The 22,205-nt window shown below is 45.1% G+C and overlaps 1 long non-coding RNA gene across 1 annotated transcript, besides 2 other annotated features; it reads left to right on the forward strand.

The window, feature by feature from the left end:
• LOC100131289 (uncharacterized) lies at positions 8,169-9,612 on the forward strand. The gene is made up of 3 exons (NR_038929.1): positions 8,169-8,266; positions 8,727-8,788; positions 8,945-9,612. It is a non-coding gene; the product is annotated as an uncharacterized LOC100131289 (long non-coding RNA).
• Positions 16,803-17,443: an enhancer, noted in NCBI's record as "OCT4-NANOG hESC enhancer chr6:27738157-27738797 (GRCh37/hg19 assembly coordinates)". NCBI's record gives its function as "activates a minimal SCP1, AML or CMV promoter by ChIP-STARR-seq in naive and primed H9 embryonic stem cells {active_cell/tissue: H9 hESC(naive and primed)}" and the evidence as "EXISTENCE:reporter gene assay evidence [ECO:0000049][PMID:30033119]".
• Positions 17,444-18,083: an enhancer, noted in NCBI's record as "OCT4-NANOG hESC enhancer chr6:27738798-27739437 (GRCh37/hg19 assembly coordinates)". NCBI's record gives its function as "activates a minimal SCP1, AML or CMV promoter by ChIP-STARR-seq in naive and primed H9 embryonic stem cells {active_cell/tissue: H9 hESC(naive and primed)}" and the evidence as "EXISTENCE:reporter gene assay evidence [ECO:0000049][PMID:30033119]".

Raw genomic sequence — 22,205 nt, forward strand, 5'->3', positions numbered from 1 at the left:
ACACACTTTCACATTTACTATTTATAATATAAAAACTCGATGTCCTAATTTAAGTTGAGGAACATTTGATAAATAATCGGTTTGTACTTTTTTGTATAATAAACTATATTTCCCAGTAGTTACTTATACAAAGAGGCATAGAATTAATTTGGGAAAGGTAATTTGTTAAGATTTATGCATCTATGAATCTATGAACTAATTTTTAAACCTATTTCTAGTATTTAGATGTTCTTCCCATTGTTTTATACTTTAAAAAATACTGATTAGTTTTCAAATTTATAGATATAAATGTTTTAATGTTATATAATGTTTATATAACATTATATATAATGTTATATAATGTTTATAAGATATAAACATTTTAATGTTTAGTTGTAACCAACTAGTAGCTTCAATGATAACTCAATTCGAAGGAATTCTATAAAAAGTAGAACATTATGCTTCCCATAACAAAAATAATAAATAACTGGCTAATGACTTCACCTGACTGTAGCGTAGTCTTTGGTGCTCTAATTAGAAGAGAAGCTCTTTTCTTTCTAGAAATACTTGCCGACCTCCTTGTGGAAAACCCTCCCTTTCCGCTGTCTGCATTCGGATGAGAACCAGATCACCAGGGAGATGCAGACCAGGGGGACACTTCCTCCTGTTAACACTAGCGGAGCTGGTGGAACCCAGCCGACCATGCAGGAGGGAGGAGCTGGCAACGCCCTGAACGGTGGGAGGGGAAAGCATGCGGGGTGTCAGCGTCTCTAGGGTTTGGATAAGCCGATTTCAAGTCCAGGACAGGAGAGAAAACAAAAGAGTTCTGTTCAAATAATAATAATAATAAATCTTACTGAGTTTCAAACCAAGGGTCTTTACTGTATTGGGCAAATGTGATAACCACAATACCAGTAAAACTTGCCTTTGGTCCCATGTCTCTTCTACAGGAAAAAAAAAATACAGTTTTTCCAGATGCCCCAGGTTCTATAATCTCAAAGCTGCCCTTTCTTCCCAGAAACTCTCACAGTGGTGGTACGTTTCTTGCCCTTGTACTTTTAGTGTACTAAAACCAACAGCCAAACTTTATCATTTTAGCAATCCAAGTATTCACCCATGAGCCCCAATTTCTTTGCAAATGCCAGGCAAGAAAACCTCAAGTAGATAGAGAAGTAGAGAGCAGATGATTTGATTTTTTTAAAAAAATTCTACCATAGTGTCCTTATCTTATCCATGCAACTTGTTCTGATCTTCATCTTTCTAGTGCCAGAAAATGACCCTTTTAGGAACCCGGACCTGTAAGACTGAGCTCTTGGGACTATTAGCATTTGTTACAGAGCAGGTAAGCTTCAGGATGAGATATACTGGGGAACAGGTACAAGGTTACAAGATTGGATTCTATGTCACAAATAATTATTTCTCTGGAATGTGACAGTTCAATGCTATTTGATTTAGAAAAGGAGGATAAAACGCTCGTGTATTTTTTTCTTTTCTTTGTTCTTCTCTCCCTTTTCACTGTCTTCCTCTATCTACTTTCACTGCACACCTAGAAGCAAGCTGCCTTCTTCCAGATTCCTCCTTATAACTTCACTTTGCATATAAACACCACACACTCTCTGTGCTTAGAGGTGGTGGTTGGGCTGCCAGACCAGTCTGGAGAAAGTCTGTGCTTACTTTTTCCTCTACTTAGTATTCTTTCTTCCATGGGTGCCAGGAACAGAGAGCCCCTTCTCACCTTGAGATCATGTGAGCTGGTAGTAGCTGGATCATGAATAATTGGAATGCTGTGGGTAACAACTGAAAGAAAGACTGTAATTCCCAATTAACAAATTAGACTGTATTTCCCAATTAACAAATCAAGACCAGATTAGCAGCAACAATGATCATTAAAAATATTGTTAAAGAAAAAAAGAAAGAAAAAAGATAAAAAATATTGTTAAACTGGACATAGTGGTGTACCTGTAGTTCTAGTTACTCTGGAGACGAAGTAAATCAGGAAGATCACTTGAGCCCAGGAGTTTGAGGTTGCATGTGCAATGATTGTGTCTGTGAAAAGCCACTGCCCTCCAGCCTGGGCAATATAGGGAGACTCCATCTCTAATTTAAAAAAAATTGTTGTAAACACATTTATTTCATATTAATTAAAATAAATTATTGGCTGGGCACAGTGGCTCATGCCTGTAATTCTAGCACTTTGGGAGGCTTAGGCGGGATGATCACTTGAGCCATGAGTTCGAGACAGCCTGGGCAACATTGCGAGATCCCCATTTCAAATTTTTTTAAAAAGAAAAATAAATTATTGAGCTACAAACAATGTGCCAGACAATTGTGACCCTATGTTGTCACTAGGAGTACCAGAGGCATGCAGGACAAGATTACACAATCCTAACTCTCAAGGAGAAGAAAGAGGAACATGAGCAGCCAATATGCCATAAGCAAAAAGTGGAGCAACAGACGTACAGATTGCGAAGCATTTGGATGGTAGTATAGAGAGGAGGCATCTTCTTAGTCCTTATGAACTGGCAGGGCAGATCTGGCAGGGATCTTTGGAGCCAAAATATCTGAGTACAATTCCTTCCTCTGCCACTTTCTCATCATATGTAGGGTTTCAGGCAAGCTATTTGGCTTCTTCATGACTCTGTCTGTGCTGGTAAAATGGATATGGATACAGTGTGTACCTCATAGAATTATCATAAACTCAATTAAGAAAAACTCCCTGAAGTGTTTCAGACAGTGCTCAACTTACAGAAGTAGTTACTGCTTTTATTTTTAGTATTACTTTTAGCCTTGTCAAGCCTCCTGAGTCAAGATCTATCCCTGTCATTTCGGGTTTACATTTGAGCAAGTTAAGGCTTGAACAATGTGCTGAGGTTATGCTAGCTAGGAAAGGACACCACCAGGTGTGTTTGTCTCCAGAACTGGTGTTCTTGACCACCATGCTATACTAGGTAGTTTTATAAACCCCTGTTTATGACAAAAAAAGATTATAGAGAATATTATGGACCTCCTTATTTCCATGATCCTACTTCAACAATTAGTCTCTCCTCCCTCTGCCAAGCCCCCATGATAATTTAAAGCAAATTTAGACATTTTCATCTAGCAACAGCTTTTTGTGGCATTTTCATAGCATATGCTTCCATTTAACTTTGTAGTTAATGAGGAAATTTGTTGAGCTGTTCTCCCCTGGGCGGGAGAGATGCCATGCAGGGAGTCCTAAGCTTCCCATTGTCCCTCAGATCAGTAAAGAAGACCAGCCCTAAGCTGCTGACCACAGGTTCATGGGACTCTTCTGAGGGAATGTGAGGCCCAGAACTTACGCTAGTGATTCTCCAGGTGGACTATTCCTAAGATTCCTTGCCATACCCCCTTCTAGTGCAGAGGGTCTCTGGTATGGCCCACAAGTCTTAATTTTTAGAAGCTTCCAGGTGATTCAGAAGCTGAGGACCTTTGGGAAGATTTTGACAATCCTTTCATTAATGACAAATTTGTTTCATCTTAAAAAACAAAACTTCATCCTTGTATGTGTGGAGGAGGACACTATAGTGAAATTAAAGAAAAAAAAAGTCAAATTATCTGCTCCCTCCATCTACCTGAGGTTTTCTTGCTTGGCATTTGCAAAGAAATTGGGCGCATGGGTGAATACTTTGATTGCTATAAAGAGTAGAGTTTGGCCGTTGATTTTAGTACACTAAAAGTGCAAGGGCAAGAAACATACCAGCACCTTGACAGTTTCTGGGAAGAAACTTAACGGCACCTTCTGGACCCAATCTGCGTGGCGCAGTGGCCTAAAGAGGCGACCGAACCTGCATCCCTAGCTCCGCCTTCCCGGTCCCTGCACACCCCGGCAGCTTCCGCGCGATTCTTCCCGCCCCCGACACCCGCCGCCACACAAAGGCGCTGCGTCCTGGCGGCCAGCGGGGGCTTAGTCTAGGCCCGGCAGGGTTTTCTGGAAGACCAGAGGGCCACCAGGTCACCGAGGTGGGAAGTGAAGAGAGGTTCGACGCTGCCTCAGGCCTGGGCCTGGCCGGTGGGAGACACAGCAAGGACTCTGGGAGCCTGCAGAGCAGAGGCCGCCGCGGGGCCGGGCCCCCGTCTCCTCCTCAGGTCCAAGACCAGAGGGTCTGCAGGGCCCCAGAGCAGCTGGCCGCGCTCCGCTTCCCACCGCGCTCTCTGCTGGAACTCATGTGGTTGTTTATCCTTATTTTGCTAAATTTCTTTATTTGCTGTAACAGTTTGTGTGTGTGTGTGTTTGAGTGTGTGTGTGTAATTTTCAGGGTTTTCTATATATAAAAATCATGTCACGGCCAGGCTTGGTGGCTCACACCTGTAATCCCAGCACTTTGGGAGGCCAAGGTAGGAGGATCGCCTGAGCCCAGGAGTTCGAGACCAGCCTGGGCAACACGGGCAACATAGCGAGACCCTAGTCTCTAAAATTTTTTTTATTAGCCGGGCATGGTGGCAGGCGCCTGTGGTCCCAGTTACTCCGGAGGATGAGGCAGGGTAATCGCTTGAACCAGGGAAGTCGAGGCTTCAGTGAGGCATAATTGCTCTGCTGCATCCCAGCCTGGGTGACAAAGAGAGATCCCATCTCTCTCTCAAAAAAAAGTCATGTTATCTGTGAACATAGATAATTTTACTTTTTCCTTGCCAATACTGTGCTGAATAACATGGTGAAAGTGGGCACCCATTATTCCTGATTGTAGGAGAAAAATTTTCAGTCTTTCGCTGTTGAGAATGATATTAGTTGTATGTTTTTCATAATTGGGCATTATCAAGTTGAGGAAGTTTCCTTCTATTCCTGGTTTACATTGTGTGTGTGTGTGTGTTTTGTTTGTTTGTTTTGACAGAGTCTTGCTCTGTCACCCAAGCTGGAGTGCAGTGGCCGCGATCTCGGCTCACTACAGCTTAGACCTCCAGGGCTCAAGCAATCCTTCGACTTCAGCCTGCCAAGTAGCTAGGACCATAGGCGTACAGCACCACATTTAGAAGTCCCTGAGAAAATTATCTTGGAGGAAAACTCGCAAGTCCGACTATTGGTTTTCCAAGGAAGCCAGTCTCGCCTGTGAGGAGGGATCCTGCTCGCCCTGGGAGCCTACTCAGACACCATGGGGAATGGGGGGTGGGGCTCAGAGCGCGCAGGCTTGGTTTTTTTCCCCCTCCGAACTCCTGAGTTCCAGTGATCTGCCTGACTCAGCCTCCCACAGTGCTGGGATTACAAGTGTGAGCCACTGCGCCTGGCCTATTACTTGTTTTAATAATAACAAAAAACAGCAAAATCTTGCAGAAGGTTGGAAGGTAACCAAGCAGCTTAGCTTCAAACCACGTTTTAAAAACTTTGTTTCTTTTCTTCTTTCTCCCCAGTTTCTAGACATAGCTTTGAGACAAACTGCAGATGTGCTTTCTTTTGTCGTCAATTACTGCCTTGGAATGGGCATTAAAACTGCCTTCCCTTTCGCATCTTATGCCCCCATGCCTTATGCTCATTTATTTACCTGGATGCTTGTTAAGCTCATACCATGCCCACTTATCTGGTCATATATTTCCTTAGAAGCTTCAGGGGCTGAATCCTGATGCAGACCAGACATCTCCAGAATTCTCTCTCCAGTAGGAGATTAATTCAAGGACAATATTCACTCTTGGCTAGAGATTATCTGCAAGATTGACTGTCATTAATTTGTAACTTGATTGGGCCTACAATGTCACTGGCCCCTTCACCAGGTGAAACAATAATTCAAGATAAGCCATCAGAATGAGACACCCACTGGGCACCTCCTGCCTCTTGCCCCTCTGCATTACAAGCTCCTCTCCTTGAAATGCTTGGCCTCTCTCCAGAAATTGGAGAGTGGCAAATTTTGGCCAGCCACTCTCCCCATTGCTAGCATGGATAATAAAACTTACTCTATTTTTAATTACACCTCATTCCTTTTTTTTTCTTTTTTTTTTTTTTTTTTTTGAGATGGAGTCTCACTCTGTTGCCCAGGCTGGAGTGCAGTGGCACGATCTCAGCTCACTGCAGCCCTGCCTCCTGGGTTCAAGCGATTCTTCTGCCTGAGCCTCCTGAGTAGCTGGGAGTACAGGCGCACGCCAGCACACCCAGCTAATTTTTGTATTTTTAGTAGAGACGGGGTTTCACCATATAGGCGAGGCTGGTCTCAAACTCCTGACCTCGTGATCCGTCCGCCTCGGCCTCCCAAAGTCCTGGGATTACAGGCATGAGCCACCACGCCCGGCCTCATTCTTGTTCTTTTGGCTTTTTTCTACAAGTGACAATCAGCCAGACCCTCTTTCAGCTACAGGAAGAGTTTGATAAAGAGAATGCCTGAGCTCAATCTTGTGTGTTTTAAGGAAACAGAAAAAAAGGGAAAAGAAAAAGTCTTTTCCTGCCTTGTACCTCTGTCTAACTAAAAAGAGAGGCAGCTTCCTCACAGAAAAATATCACTGATCTTAAAACTGAATTCAAAGAACTGAAGAAGGAAGTTTCTAGTGTTTCACTTCTGTGGATTTGGCCCAGAAAAATCCACAGAGAAGGTGTTAAAGTCAGGTAATTTATCCTGCATCCCTTAGAAAGCCCTAGAGCCAATCAAAACTCTCCCCAAAGGGCTGAAATCAGGCTCTGAGGGTTGTGGGAGTGACAGAGCCATGTAAGCTCTCTGGATTCACAGGTTTAGGTCACTGCTGATGGATTCAATTACTATGGGAGGACATTTCATGCTGTCTAATTTTCATTCAATTGGATGATTCTCCCAAATCCTTCGTTCTTTACCATAAGTTTACTCATTATTTTAGCTTTACCTCAAGGCACTTTCCCCTGGGAATTTTTCTGAGACCAGTGTGAGTTAGGTGTACTTCCTGTGTTTTGATTTGTCATACTAAAAATCTTACAAGTATGAATTTCTACATGAAATAAAGGTAAGATCTTAATCTTAACAATCTAGGTCTTAGATTTCACGGTATGGGCATTAAACAAGTGTTTATTTCTGTATAGCCTTTTTGATGAGTACCCAGCAATCCCACTTCTACGAATGTCTATCAGTGAAATTCCAGCTTAGCTCTGTAGTGGCTTCATAGAATCCAGTCATTGCAGCAATTTCAGGCAGCAGAGAGTTGGGGCAACCTGCATGTCCATCACCAGAATGAGTAAGTACTGCAGTGAATACAAGTTTGTGTGAAGTTTCATGCTCTGCAGGAGTCACAACTAATGAAGCAGAGGTACATGTATACCAAAAACAGGTGGATTTTTCAGTGCAAAGTAAAATCTAAGAAACAAAATGTATATCAGGATGTATAGTACAATACCAAAATTAAAATTACAGAGTTACACAAAATACAGTGGGTGAGGCAGTAGCTGAATGACTAATGCCAGAGGGAATGGTGGCAAATTGTGTGAAGAGGGGAAGAAACTAAGTTAAATTATCTGATTGGCACACTTGCCACCTCTTGGAAGACACCTGATTACACTCAGTCCCCTGCCCTCTTGCTGGCCAGGAAGATAATTGGTCACAGGTGGCCCCCTGACCCCACCTCACTCCACAGTTTCTTATGGCAAAGCGTTTCCTTGACAGAAAATGCTAAATGTCGCCAAAGCCCCTCCCTTGGGGTCCTGGTTTCTAAAAAGTCTTTTTTTCTGTAATCAAGAGGTTAATGTTTGGGTGTGTTGGAAGGATACAGAAAAAGGCATAGCACAGTATGGACAATGGTCTTGAAATAAAATTCCTCCTTATTCTGCCTGAAATTTCCTGACATGATGACATGGTATTTATGAGGATGTGGGTCACTGGGCGAAAGCCTTCCTTGGTCTTGAATCATGGATTTTGGGTATTGTTGGTTTTGGTGAATGGAATATATAAGGAAAGAAAAAAAGGGCCACAAATATGAAAATGCTCTAAAAGAAACAATAATTTCACAATACTGAACGTGAGCCATTCAGGAAATGTCCATTTTAAATTTTAAAGATAGCTCCTGGGTGAACGGTGGTTTTTGTAATGCAGTGGTTGTCACGTGTGCCACCCACGCGAAATGGAAACTGGGCAGAAATATCTCCTTATGGGTCTCTCTCTCTCCCTCTCTCGCTCTCTACTTCAGCTTGGGTAATTTGTTTCACTAAACTCAACTCAAGCTCTCTTAAACCCAGGTCTGGTGCTTAAAACAATATGTCTTTATTCCCTTACAGGTCTAGGGGTCAGAAATCTGCAATCAGTTTCGGTGGACCAAAATGAAAATGTCAAACAGGGTGTCTGACACCCTCCAGAAGCACCAGAGGAGAAGCAGCTTTCCTTGGCCTTCCCAGGTTCTACAGGGACATTCCTTGGCTCATAGCTCCCCCTCCCATTTTCTTTCTTTCTTTTCTTTTCTTTTCTTTTCTTTTCTTTTCTTTTTTTTCTTTTTTTTTTTTTTGAGACAGAGTCTCGCTCTGTCACCCAGGCTGGAGTGCAGTGGCGCCATCTCGGCTCACTGCAAGCTCCGCCTCCCGGGTTCACGCCATTCTCCTGCCTCAGCCTCCCGTAGCTGGGATTACAGGCACCCGCCACCACGCTCGGCTAATTTTTTGTACTTTTAGTAAAGACGGGGTTTCACCGTACTAGCCAGGATGGTCTCGATCTCCTGACCTCGTGATCAGCCCGCCTCGGCCTCCCAAAGTGCTGGGATTACAGGCGTGAGGCACCGCGCCCGGCCTCCTCCTCCCGTTTTCAAAGTCACCAGCGTAGCATCCTGATTCAAGATCACATTGTCTTCTTTTTTTTTTGTAGCCAAATCTCCCTCTGCCTCTCTCCCCTGGTGACGACAATGGCTGGGGTCTTGACTTGCCAAGGTAACTCGTTGGGGAGCAGAGAGTGGGATCCGCAGTGTTCTGGTGGCTGTTGGGATCTGGGCGCGAGGAAGGAGAGTGGCTCTCATGATTCTCTGCATTCTCAGTGCAGCGTGGCCCGTACTGGTCACCTGGGTATAGCTTTACTGAATTTCGCAGATCTGGAAACGGAGAAGGGACTGGATCTCCAAACTTGGACTGCCTTGGACTGACCCTGGCCTGGAAGGTGTGGGCTCAGGACTCCGAGCTCAAGTCAGTCTGTTCCCCCAACCCCTAACCCACTGCATCCGGGTGAGGAGTTGGGCCCGAGCGCCACAGCGCAGATAGGGTTGTTAGGAGCGAAAGACTGGAGACCCAGGGACTGTGGGGCTGGGCTGGTGGGGCCACTGCTACCGACTAAGCAGTACGGGCCGCCTGGAAGACCGAAGGCGGAGTTCGCTGATGCGGAAGCCAAGGCACAGGGCAATAAGGATCCGCGCCATTTCTTGTGATGTCACCTGAAGCCTTGGCGGGTAGCTGCCTCTCATCCATTCGGAGGACAGGGCTCCAGCCACCGGCAGCTCTGAAAGAGTTTGAAGAATTTATTGTTCACAGATGGTATTTAAATGGACTTATTTCTAAAAGTCACATTCCTTTATTACTTATTTGTTATTAGAAGTACCCATTTTCATATGTGTTTAAAACTATTTGTGTCTCAAATTCTCAGGAGATTGATGCATCCCAGTTTACTCTTTTTGGCATATGTTTTTACTCATAAATTAGGTTAAATTTCATACTTGTTTTATAAAATTTAGTTATTTGGTTACATTAAAATATTTGTATCCAGATAAGAAGTCTCTTCCTTCTCCTATGCTTTTTTTGGAATTTAGAGCATATCTGAAATAAAATTAATTTACTTTTTATTACTAATTGGTTATATGCCATCAATTCATATTATTTCAACTATCCATTACTGTAAGCCAATTAGATTATACCTTTTTTCTTTAGTGTTTTTTCATTTATTAGTATTGATTTGTGCTGTTCTGTTGTGTTTTTTAGTTAAAGAAAAAATTATTCATGACACTAGCTAAACATGGTAAGGCAGATTTTATTCAAGGGGACTACTATAATGGAGTTTTGCAGTAGGGGAGATTGGGCTCAACTCCAAATACAAAAGAACAAGTGGAGCTTTACAGCAAAGGATCAGCGCGGGGGTTAATGGCTGAAAAATTACTAAGAAGTAGGGTAGTTCTTTGCTAAACTGATGTAACAGTATATATATAATTTTTTTTTTTTTTTTTTTTTTTTTTTTTTTTTTTTTTTTTTTTTTTGCTAAAGACAGGCCAGGAAGGCCGGGCTCGGTGGCTCACGCCTGTAATCCCAGCACTTTGGGAGGCCGAGGTGGGTGGATCACTTGAGGTCGTGAGTTCGAAACCAGCCTGACCAACATGGAGAACCCGCGTCTCTACTAAAAATACAAAATTAGCCAGGCGTGGTGGCGCATGCCTGTAATCCCAGCTCCTCGAGAGGCTGAGGCAGGAGAGTCGCTTGAACCTGGGAGGCAGAGGTTGCGGTGAGCTGAGATTGCTCCATTGCACTCCAGCCTGGGCAACAAGAGCAAAACTCCGTCTCAAAACCAAACAAACAATCAACAACACGCACGCGCGCGCGCGCGCACACACACACACACACACACACACACACACACACACAAAAGACAGACCAGGAGGCCAGGGTAATAAGATATCAAGGTGAGACATAAGGAATTTGGTAAAATATCGAGGGTGATCAGACCAAGGGTGGAGAATTTTCATTAAACTTAGCAGGATTCTTGCTAAAACTAGAATAAGTGAACCAAAGAAAAAACCCAAGGTCTGGGCTTTCAGTACTTATAAAGGAGGCTGACTAGAGTTGGGTCAAGAAGGTCTTTGTCACTTTAGGCAAGTAACTGAGTTTCCTTTAATGGTGGCAATCTCAACATTCCCTTGGAAAATAAATCCACATCTGAAATGTGAGTGAATTTGGATAAATCATATTCAGAAATCAGACACCCATTGACTCGCAGCTGCTCCAGTATGTGAGAGCTGTCAACAAGGACATGTGCAAGTGGTGTTATACCCTCCTCTTAGGCCTAATCTCCCAGTGAGGTTGGGGATGAACAGGGGCCCAGTCATCTGTTTGCAGAAATGAAACCCCAGGGTGCAGTCAGAGAGACTTTTCCTACGCTATTTCGTGGTACTTTGCGCCATTATCATTCCGTGGGTTCGGTCCTCCAGGCCATGCCTGAATATAAGGTTCTCACTTGCCTGGCCCTCATCTGATTAAGGACAGAAGTACAGGGTCCTTCTTTCTGATCCACTCAGGTCTTTAAAGTTCAAGCTAAAAACTCTTTCCCGGAGAATGCCTCCAAGTGCCCCCCAGCATGGGGGCAAAGAGCAGTTTAATGTACAAGGGGTGAGAAAGAGGGTGGGGAGAGGAGAAATTGCCTCCCCAATCTCTCCTTCCCCATGGAGTCCCTTCTGCGTCCTCACTCCTGGCATTGGAGACCAAGGGGACAGAAGCTGAGATAGGGCCCTGGATTGCCTTCCCTAAAAAGATGTCCTTCAAAGCTTTGCCCAGCATATCCTGTTGCCCCTGAGGTATATAACCCAGGGTGGGTTACCTTTCAGGGTCCCTTAGCTGTGGTACAAATGAGGACCATGCAGTGGAGACTCCATCCACCCTGACAGTTTTCTTGAACCTTGGGGGACTGGCTTGCTGTGCATCTTAGGCTTCTGTTGTCTCTTACTGCCTATCTGTGAACAATAAACCTGATTCATATAACTTGTGGCATGTGAATGTATTCTGTCTCATCTGACTGAGGCAAATAGTAAAACTGCAGCCCAGGATGCTGTGGGTGGAAATGTTCTGATTCCTGGTGGTTAGCATAGTAATGATTTTTGCTATTCTTCCCTCAGTGAGAGTTCTCCTTTGGGATTGGTAATTAGTGATCCTGCTTCATAAAATTGGTATAGCAGCACAGTCTGGTCTGACAGAACCATGACTTATGGGCTAAGAGGGAGGGGCAATGTCCTTCAGTACCCAGTCCAGGGAAGAGAGGTCAGTCTGGGGGTGCAGGAGCCAGACATGCTGCAGGATGTTTTATGGGGAAGGAGGAATGATAAGTGGGACATATGTCACCTCCCCACAGATGTGAATGAGCTGGCTGCATGGATTGAGGCAGAGAGAAAGGAATGTGGAAACAGAGGAGTGTGAAACTCTGTCCCCTAGCTTTGGGACACATATGTGATTGCTCATTCCCCAGGATGGAGATCTTGGGAAATGGACACTCAGACGCTAAGACACCCAAGAGGTTATAAGAAAAGTCTCTGAGGCACTTAAGAAGGAATAAATGTGCATGATGCAGCCCGTCTTTACCCAGCAGTGCAAGAATGTTGGGGTAGCTCAGCAAGAAACCATCAAAATGCTCTCCTTCACAGAAAGACAAATTAGTGATCTCAAGGACAGCTATGGGCAAAAACCAAGAGAAGACATGTTTTCTTGGCTATCTCAGGTAGTTGATGAGGAGTGACAGAACATTCTGCTGTCATGAAAAGAATGGCACAGCCTGGGTAGATTGGCTCACAACCCAGTGTTGCAGCAGATGTTCAGGGTGATCCAACAAGCTACAGGTGTAGATCACCACGCCCACAAGCTGGAATCTTTACTTATTTGGTTGGTGTCTAGCATTCTAGGCTCTTTTCCCATCCAGGGTGGTTTGCCTAAGCTTCCATTGTGCCCTTGGCAGTCAGGACATGAGGCTGGCACAGCCTTGTGCAGGGTGGCCCCGGGCTCATGGCTATCCAACCTCCAGAAGGGGGAATTGGATGATACAATACTGTTTAGATGCAATATTGATGACTTCATAGAGCAGGGCCCTTGGCCCTGGCATAATCAATTGATTTTATTTCTTCCCCTTGGAATAGCCTTTGGCAAGGCCATCGAAAAGCTGTATCGTACTCTGCTAGCCTGGCAGCAGAATGGGGGTCAAATTTGACAAATTTAATCTGACAATTAAATACAAAAGGCTAACTTGGGAGGGGGCAATCCAAGGGCTGGTAGTGGGGCAGCCTCCAAGTGCCCCCACTCCACAGACTGTGGATCTGACTGACGCAGCAGGGGGTTCCTAAATAAGAGATTGATGGCCTCCCCCCATCTGATACATGCTATCAGAACCAATCAGAGGGAGGCCCTTGCAGTTCACAGAATCAACAGGTGCCAACCATGCAGGAGGAGTACTGGGAAAGGGAAGTCTATAGACAAGTGGAAACATTGGCACCCCCTTTAGCCTCTCTGGGAGAGTCATCTTCCCTGGCCCTAACACAAGTTCTCTGTACCCACACCTTTTTAAACTGAAACAGGTGTGGAACCAAGGTCTCCACTGGCCTCAGCCTGGCCCTCTGACCCTGCCCTGAGACTGGAGGCATTATGTACCTGTTAGAGTGGACATGGAGGCAGATTTTAATTTACATGGAACTGCTAGACACTGAGGCCCAAGCCACTGTAGTTCCTGGCCCTGAAGAATGGCATGAATTCCAGGTGGATTCTGGAATTTTGTAGGGTGGAGAATTAAGGAAATGCTAGGTAGGGAGGTGCTTTCTCACTTATGAGTGTGGCCATTTAGCAGCTATGACAGGCTGGTGGTTGGGTTTCCATTGGCTGAGCGTATTATAGGGATTGACCTAATGCAGTGCACAACTTCATGGTGCTTACTGGGCTATGCCCCAACTAAAAGAAACATTTTAGCCATCACAGTAAGGTAAGTCCAGAGGCAAGCACCACCATGTCACCCCAAACCTTAGAAGAGGGTACAATAAAGACAATATAATATCCCTGAGGGAAAGAAGGACATCACACTCCTCATCCAATATTCAGTTCAAGCAGAAGTGTGCGGGCAACCGGTTCCACTTTTAACAGTCTGGTTTAGCCTGTTAAGAAAGCCAGTGGAGCCTGGAGTCTGACAATTAACTATTGAGAGCTAAATGCTGTAGTAGACCTATTGACACTCGTGGCCCAGATATCACCACAGTAATTGAACACATCATGGAGGCTTCCAACCAATGGTATGATGCAGTTATTGATCTGGCTAATGGATTCTTCTCAATCCCTTTGAGGGATAAGGGCAGAGATCAATTTGTATTCACATGGCAAAGTATACAATATACATTTACAGTGCTGCCACAGGAGTATTTGAACTCACCTGCCATATGCCACCAGTGGGTAGGATGGGATTTCGCCACTGTGCTTTTGCCTAAAGTGGTCATGTGCATTCATTACATAGGTGACATCCTTATTGTGGCCCTTGATGATCCGATCACACAAGAGGCCTTGGACTTGATGGTCACAGGGACGTGACAAGCAGACTGGGAAGTTAACCCTAACAGTCCTGGGATCAGCCAAACTGGTGACCTTTTTAGGATCTACCTGGGCTAGAGCTCAGTACTAGATTCCAGATCTGCCCATCAAAATCTGTTACCATTAACTGGCCGACTATGAAAAAGGAGGCCCAACACCTGACTGGTGGACTTTTTGGGTATTGGAAACAACACATACCTTACCTGTTCATTCTGTTGGCTTCACTCCACCAGATACCTAGGAAAGCTGCTACTTTGCATTGAGGGCCCAGGGAGGATGAGGCACTCTAGGTTTTACAACAAGCCATTAGGCAGGCCATGGCCCTGGGGCAGTTAGAGCACACCTCTCCATTTGAATGACAAGTCTCTGTGTTAGGAAATGATGCAGACTGCAGCCTTTGGCAAAAAGAAGAGGCCACTGGGGTTTAAAGGCCTTTAGGGTTCTGGATTAACCACTCCCTACACCCCTTTTGAAAAGCAGTTTTTAGCTTATTGGACCTTAGTGGAAACTGAAAGGCTGACCCAGTACACTAAGGTTGTACTCCAACCACAAGTCCCCATCTTGTCCTGGGTTAACAGGCAGCCTAGATATTAGAACGGGGTTAGCCTAGCAAAGAGGCATCATCAGATGGAAGTAGTATATTCAAGACTGAGCCTGATTAGGAGAAGAGGTAGTAAGCAAGCTACAAGTAAAAATGGCCAGCTCTCTGGCAGGTGGAATGGTGCCTACACCACCTAGGAATCCCCATAGCCAAATGGGGACCATGATTACAGGATGCAGACTCTGACATCTTCTGCTAGTTCACAGATAGCTCAGCAAAGCTGAAGCCTTGAGGGGTAAAATGGGCTGCAGCCACTGTCAACATGAAAACAGGGGACATTATCACTGACAGTGGAGGAGGTCACAGTGCCCAATGGGCTGAGTTACTCACAGTTTGGCTGGCAGTGTTCTGGGGATGGGGAGTGAGGCACCAATCTGTCACTTTGTTCTTTCTGTGGAGCATGGCAGCAGAGGCCTGGAAGCATAATGCCTTTGTTAGCCTTTCTCAAGCTGTGCCCGCTGTGGGAAACCTGGTGAAAAGTTGGATTGCCATCCTGGACCTCAATCTGTGAACAACCAGAGTGACTCCATGTCCTGCCAGTGGTCAAGTATGCCAGCATTTCTAATGGCACAGTGTACACTAACAGAACTCCAACCCTGGCTTACCATGTGAGGATCTGATACCCATCACATTGGAGGGAGCTGAAGGTGCCCTGTTTTAGTTTAATTGGTTTAAGGTGGCAAAATATCACAACCACAAATAACAAAGCCATAGAGAGCTGGTATTTGGATGCACCACACTCCTTTCATTACTTGGATGAGAAGTGCCCTGCCAGTGATCCAGTTCCTCCCCTCTCCTTGTCTGTAGTTCTCAGAATACTGTAGGATGTGCTGGAAATGCAATATACTGAGATAGGGAAGAACTGTCCTGGACAGTGCTTACTTTGTTCCTGTCTCCTTTACAAGGATGTCCTTCAAACCTTTGCCCAGTGCATTCCATTGCTACTCAGGTATATAACCCACAGTGGGCTACCTTTCAGGGATTCTAGCTGCAGTATAGTGGGGAATGTACAGTTGAGACTCCATCCTCCCCAGAAACTTTCTTAAGCCTTGGGGGACTAGCTTGTTATGAATCTTAGTCTTCTGTTGTCTCTTTCTGCCTATCTGTAAGTAATAAACTGATTTATATAACTTGTGGTGTGTGAGTATGTGCTGTCTCACCTGACTCAAGCAATTGATAAGACTCTAGCCCAGGATGCAGCGGGTGGAAACATTCTGGCTCCATTCCTGATGGTCCACATAGTGATGATTTTTGCTAATGACCTCATTTTTGAATCCATTTGATATCCTTTGGTCTTCATTTTACTTCCCTTCTTGATATTTACACTTCCTAAAACACTTCCCGTGGCATCAATAACACCAAACCCTTTTCTCCTTATAAATTCCCACCTGTGAGGCCAACCCCAAGCTTTAAAAGATGCCATTTTTGGCCAGGCGCGGTGGCTCATTCCTGTAATCCCAGCACTTTGGGAGGCCGAGGTGGGCGGATCACAAGGTCAGGAGATCGAGACCATCCTGGCTAACATGGTGAAACCTCGTCTCTACTAAAAATAGAAAAAAAAAAAAAAATTAGCAGGGCTGGTAGCAGGTGCCTGTAGTCCCAGCTACTCGGGAGGCTGAGGCAGGAGAATGGTGTGAACCCAGGAGGTGGAGCTTGCAGTGAGCAGAGATCGCGCCACTGCACTCCAGCCTGGGCGACACAGCATACTCCATCTCAAATAAATAAATAAATAAACAAACATAAATAAAATAAAAAATAAAGGATGCCATTTTTCAGGGCTGGGCACGGTGGCTCATGCCTGTAATCCCAGGTTTGGGAGGCTGAGGCGGGCAGATCACGAGGTCAGGAGTTTGAGACCAGCCTAGCCAATGTAGTGAAACCCCATCTGTATTAAAAATACAAAAATTAGCCCCATTGCACTCCAGCCTGGGCGACAGAGCGAGACTCTGTCTCAAAAAAAAAAAAAAAAGCCATTTTTCAAGTGTTTGTCTTGGCCCTTTAGCCCCTCTCAGTTTCCTATATAATACCTCAATATAATTCCTTATTGGCCTTTCAGTTTTATACTATCTCCTCTCATAGCTGCAGAACTTGCCTGAAGCTATTCCTTATATTGTTATACCCAAGCGAGTTAGAGAAAACACCACACTTTGAGACGAATTAAGAGTCCTTTATTTAAGCCGGCGGCCAAGAGAGGGCTTGACGCTCCAAAATTCTCCTGGCCCGAGGAAGGGGCTCGATTTATTTTTATACCTTGGTTTAGGAAGGGGAGGGGAGCTCAAATGCAATAATTCTACAGAAGTAGAAACATGCAAGAATCAAAAAAAACAAATAGTTACAGAGAAATAAACAATTTAAAAGACAAATGGTTACAAAAAAAGCAACGGAACCAGGTGCGGGGCTCTAAATCCTTCATAAGAGTTAGATATGGATGCTATGCCGGACACAGACTCAAGGCTTTATGTTGTTATCTTTTTTGAGCAAAATCCTGGGAACTTCATACATTGTTCCAGTACCTTGTCAGTTAATTGGGCTCCTTTGAAATGCTGAGGATCTGCTTACACAGGTTAACTGCTTGAGGAAGCGGGTTGGGTAAGGACCCCTTAATGTCTTGTAAATCAAGGGGCCAGATGGAGTTCCTCTGGCTTTCCCAGCTAAGTGAGAGTCTATTCATATGGGAAACAAGGCTAGGTAATTAAAGAGACAAAAAGGGAAAATCCAAAAAATAGGTTTAGTAAATACAAGGTTAGGCATTGCAATATCCTATTATCCTACTCAAACATCTCTACTTGAGCATATTTGAAACTGAGTACTTAATTCCCCTACCCCCAAAAAGGATGGAAAAAATGTTGCCCTCTCACTATTGTTTTTTATTTCTCCATTTATATATTGCTGCATTACAAACCACCAAGACCATAGTGGCTTAAAACAATAATAACTTCATTTTGCTCCCCGATTTGCAGTTTGGGCAGAGTCGGCTGGTCTTTTCTCCACAGGGTGTCAGCTGGGGAATCCACTTTTAAGCTGGCTCACTTGTGTGGTTAGCAAAGTGGAAGTGGCTTTTGCATGGGAGCTCAGCCAGTGCCATGTACTAAGGGCTTTGGTTCTTTTCTCTGGAGGTGGATGACCTGACGGTACACAACTTAGGCTGCTGCACTGGTGTTTATTATGGTCATTCACTATGAAGGAACAGTGGGAGGCGTGCATATCTTTCAGAACTGCACATTGATTCCTGGAGAGGGATCTTGGGTTGTGGGACTTTCAGCTACATGATTAGGGAAACACAAGCCACAGTGTAATGGGGCATGGAAAAAGGCATATTATGCTAACATTAGTCAAAAGAAAGCTTGGAGTAATTTTAATTTCAGACAATGTAGACTTCAGAGCAAGGAAAATTACCAGGAATAAAGAGTGGCATTATATAATAATAAAAGGGTCAATTCTTCAGGAAGATATAACAATCCTTAAAGTGTATACGTTTGTGATGGGCTAAACTGTGTGTACCCCTGCCCTGCCCCCCATAAATTCGTATGTTGAAGTTCTAACCCCCAATATATCAGAATGTGAACATGTTTGGTGACAGAGTCTTTATAGGGGTGATTAAATTAAAATGAGGTCATTAGAGTAGGCTCCTTCCTCCGTCTCCCCCCTCCCATCCTTTTGGATTGGGGTCTCACCGTTTTGACCTCATTCAACCTTAATTACCTCCTTAAATGCCCTATCTCCAAATACAGTCACGTTGAGATTAGGGGTTTGGCACAGGAATTTTGATGGACACAGTTCAGTCCACAACAACCCCCATCCCTAAATTTACTTAGCTTTAAAACAGATACAACCGGCAAGACAACACAACATGAAGTGATTAGCTGACAATGTGGTGCAGCCTCTGGATGCTTAAGGTGATGAAAATATAATTAAGCCTGTCTGCATAGGTTCGAACCTGCCGGCTACAATCCTGTCCCACGTATTGACAGTTGTGAATCTCCCGCGGTGCATTTTCAGACGAGATCGGGCGCGTTCAGAGTGGTATGACCATAGACCCGCAGTGCATTTTCAGCCTCCCTCCTGGCCTATACCCGTCATGCAGACACTAACCAATCCTTAACCAACCTCATCCTGGCCTCTTGATTTGTAGAGTCTTCGCTGAGGGGAGGAGGGCCTTACTCGTGATGTGTAAGAAGAGCAGCAACCAAAGGCTAACGTGAGAGTCACTTTTCAAAGCACCTTTTCAGCAAACAAGAATCAGCTGTCGAGTTACCAGCTCCTGTGGCTCCTTCCCCGCAGTCTCCACCAGGCGGCGCGCCCCAGGAAGCCGGACGCCTGCTACCGCGGGCCGCGTTTCTTTGTGCAAACTCAGCAAGGCCTGGCAGCCTTGGAGAGCAGGCCTTTAGCAAGCCGCGGAAACGCAACTGGGTGCCAGGGTTACTCGTTGCATTTGTGGTGGGCAGAGCTTCCTCCAAGCAGTCAGAGGAAAGCTCTCTGAAGGTGTGTAATTTCGTTTGGTAATTAGCATATAATTAGGTCTTGGGTAGGGCATGGGTCAAATCCAGCGCCACGTTGGACTCAGACGGTTTCAGACAGCTTAGCCCTCATCCTGTTTATTAGGGTCTTATCAGCCCAAGCTCTTCCTTGTCCTTGTAGCTAATTTTAACAGCTCCTTTAGGAGCTGTTAGGAGCTTAGGAAAGCTCTCCGACTGCTTGGAGGAAAGCTCTGCCCATGAGACTGCTCGGAGGAAAGCTCTGTCCACCACTACAGCGCTAAGGATATCGCCCAAGCTCTTTGCTAAATGTCTCTTGGGAAAAAGCTCCTCATGAAGCAGGTAAGACTGATTTGTAGTTTAATGACCTGCAGGTCCCCACATGAACACGAGGAAAGGGACGTGCAAGGCAGTGTTGAAGAAACATCAGCAGGTCTATTTGAGGTTCTCACCAGGTATCTTTCCTGATGGTGGGATGGGAACTTGGGGCCCTGTTGTAATTCCAGATCTGGGAAACTGCTGATTTCTCCTTCCCCCCAACTCTCCATTCCATCTCCTTACCACTCTCGTTATGATAATTGTCCCATGGTGCATTAATTCTTTTCCAGCCTTGTCGTTCAAACACTTATGTTTCCTGTAAGTACCATTAACAGCTTCTCTTGAACTGGTTTCTCTAAAAATTCCTCCTTTACCTTTCTTCTAAAGTGTCGGATCCTTTACCTTTCAAAAACGAGGAATAGGTCTCGTGGCTCATGCCTAGCGAGACCTCATCTCCACAAAAAATAATAATAAAAAAATTAGCCAGGTGTGGTGGTGTGGGCCTGTAGTCCTAGTTACTGGGGAGGCTGAGGTAGGAGGATCACTTAAGCCCAGGAGGTCAAGGTTATAGTGAGTTATGATCGTGCCACTGCACTGCAGCCTAGGTGACAGAGCAAGACCCTGTTCCCCACCCTCTGCAAAAACAAACAAACAAAAAAGCATCCTGATAAACATAGACATGAAATTGAAACATACAGGTGAAGGGTCACAGATTTATGCCTCAGTCTTCTCATCTGTAAGACAAAGACAGCCTCATCACTTTTAATGAGGTGAGCGAATGAGGGAGGAGACCACCCCTCATATTGTCTTATGCCCGATTTCTGCCTCCAAAGAAAGAAGAAGTAAAAACTAAAAAGCAGAAATGAAATCCACAGGCAGACAGCCCGGCGCCACGCCCTGGGCCTGGTAGTTAAAGATTAACCCCTGACCTAACACTGGTTATGTTATCTATAGTTTCCAGACATTGTATGGAAAAGCATTGTAAAAATCCCTGTCCTGTTCTGTTCCGTTCTGATTACTGGTGCATGCAGCCCCCAAACATGCACCCCCTGCTTGCTCAGTTGATCACGACCCTCTCATGTGGACCCCCTTAGAGTTGTGAGCCCTTAAAAGGGACAGGAATTGCTCACTCAGGGAGCTCGGTTCTTGAGACAGAAGTCTTGCCGATGCTCCAGGCCAAATAAACCCCTTCCTTCTTTAACTCGGTGTCTGAGGGGTTTTGTCTGCGGCTCTTCCTGCTGCACATTAAGTGAGGTACACCACTGCATATTACATGGCAGGTGCTCAGTCTCCTCCTTCCACTTCCTCACTGGTTTTCTAGTGAAGAGAGAATGAAGGGGTGGGTTGCCCCTCCACACCTGTGGGTGTTTCTCGTAAGGTGGAACGAGAGACTTGGAAAAGAAAAAGACACAGAGACAAAGTATAGAGAAAGAAATAAGGGGACCCGGGGGACCAGCGTTCAGCATATGGAGGATCCCACCAGCCTCTGAGTTCCCTTAGTATTTATTGATCATTCGTGGGTGTTTCTCCGAGAGGGGGATGTGTCAGGGTCACAAGACAATTGTGGGGAGAGGGTCAGCAGACAAACACGTGAACAAAGGTCTTTGCATCATAGACAAGGTAAAGGATTAAGTGCTGTGCTTTTAGATATGCATACACATAAACATCTCAATGCTTTACAAAGCAGTATTGCTGCCCGCATGTCCCACCTCCAGCCCTAACGCGGTTTTTCCCTATCTCAGTAGATGGAACGTACAATCGGGTTTTATACCGAGACATTCCATTGCCCAGGGACGGACAGGAGACAGATGCCTTGCTCTTGTCTCAACTGCAAGAGGCATGCCTTCCTCTTATACTAATCCTCCTCAGCACAGACCCTTTACAGGTGTCGGGCTGGGGGACGGTCAGGTCTTTCCCTTCCCAAGAGGCCATATTTCAGACTATCACATGGGGAGAAACCTTGGACAATACCTGGCTTTCCTAGGCAGAGGTCCCTGCGGCCTTCTGCAGTGTTTGTGTCCCTGGGTACTTGAGATTAGGGAGTGGTGATGACGCTTAACGAGCATGCTGCCTTCAAGCATCTGTTTAACAAAGCACATCTTGCACCGCCCTTAATCCATTTAACCCTGAGTTTGACACAGCACATGTTTCAGAGAGCACGGGGTTGGGAGTAAGTTCATAGATTAACAGAATCTCAAGGCAGAAGAATTTGTCTTAGTACAGAACAAAATGGAGTCTCCTATGTCTACTTCTTTCTACACAGACACAGTAACAATCTGATCTCTCTTGCTTTTCCCCACAGAGAAGGCCCATGCAACACAGACCTAAACCCCTTTGAGAGGAAAATAGGGCATTTGGTGGAGGGGAGGGGAGGAGTCCTGGCTTGCGGCTATAAAAATGTTTTTCCACTCAGATTATTTTCTGAAAGAGGCTGAGATCAGGCACCTGAGTCACTGAAGGGTTCATGCTAGTGGAGTGAGAGGGCCAGGGGAACAAGGAAGGTGATAAATCTCATCTCTATTTGATAGGAATGCTGGGTAGTCATAGGAGAAACATCAAGCAGTAATTTCACATAACAGCAAAAAAGGAGCTGTTAAAATTAGCTACAAGGACAAGAAAGAACTTGGGCTGATAAGACCCTAACAAACAGGAT

The sequence above is a fragment of the Homo sapiens genome, chromosome 6 (assembly GCF_000001405.40).
Source record: "Homo sapiens chromosome 6, GRCh38.p14 Primary Assembly".
Lineage (NCBI taxonomy): Eukaryota > Metazoa > Chordata > Mammalia > Primates > Hominidae > Homo > Homo sapiens.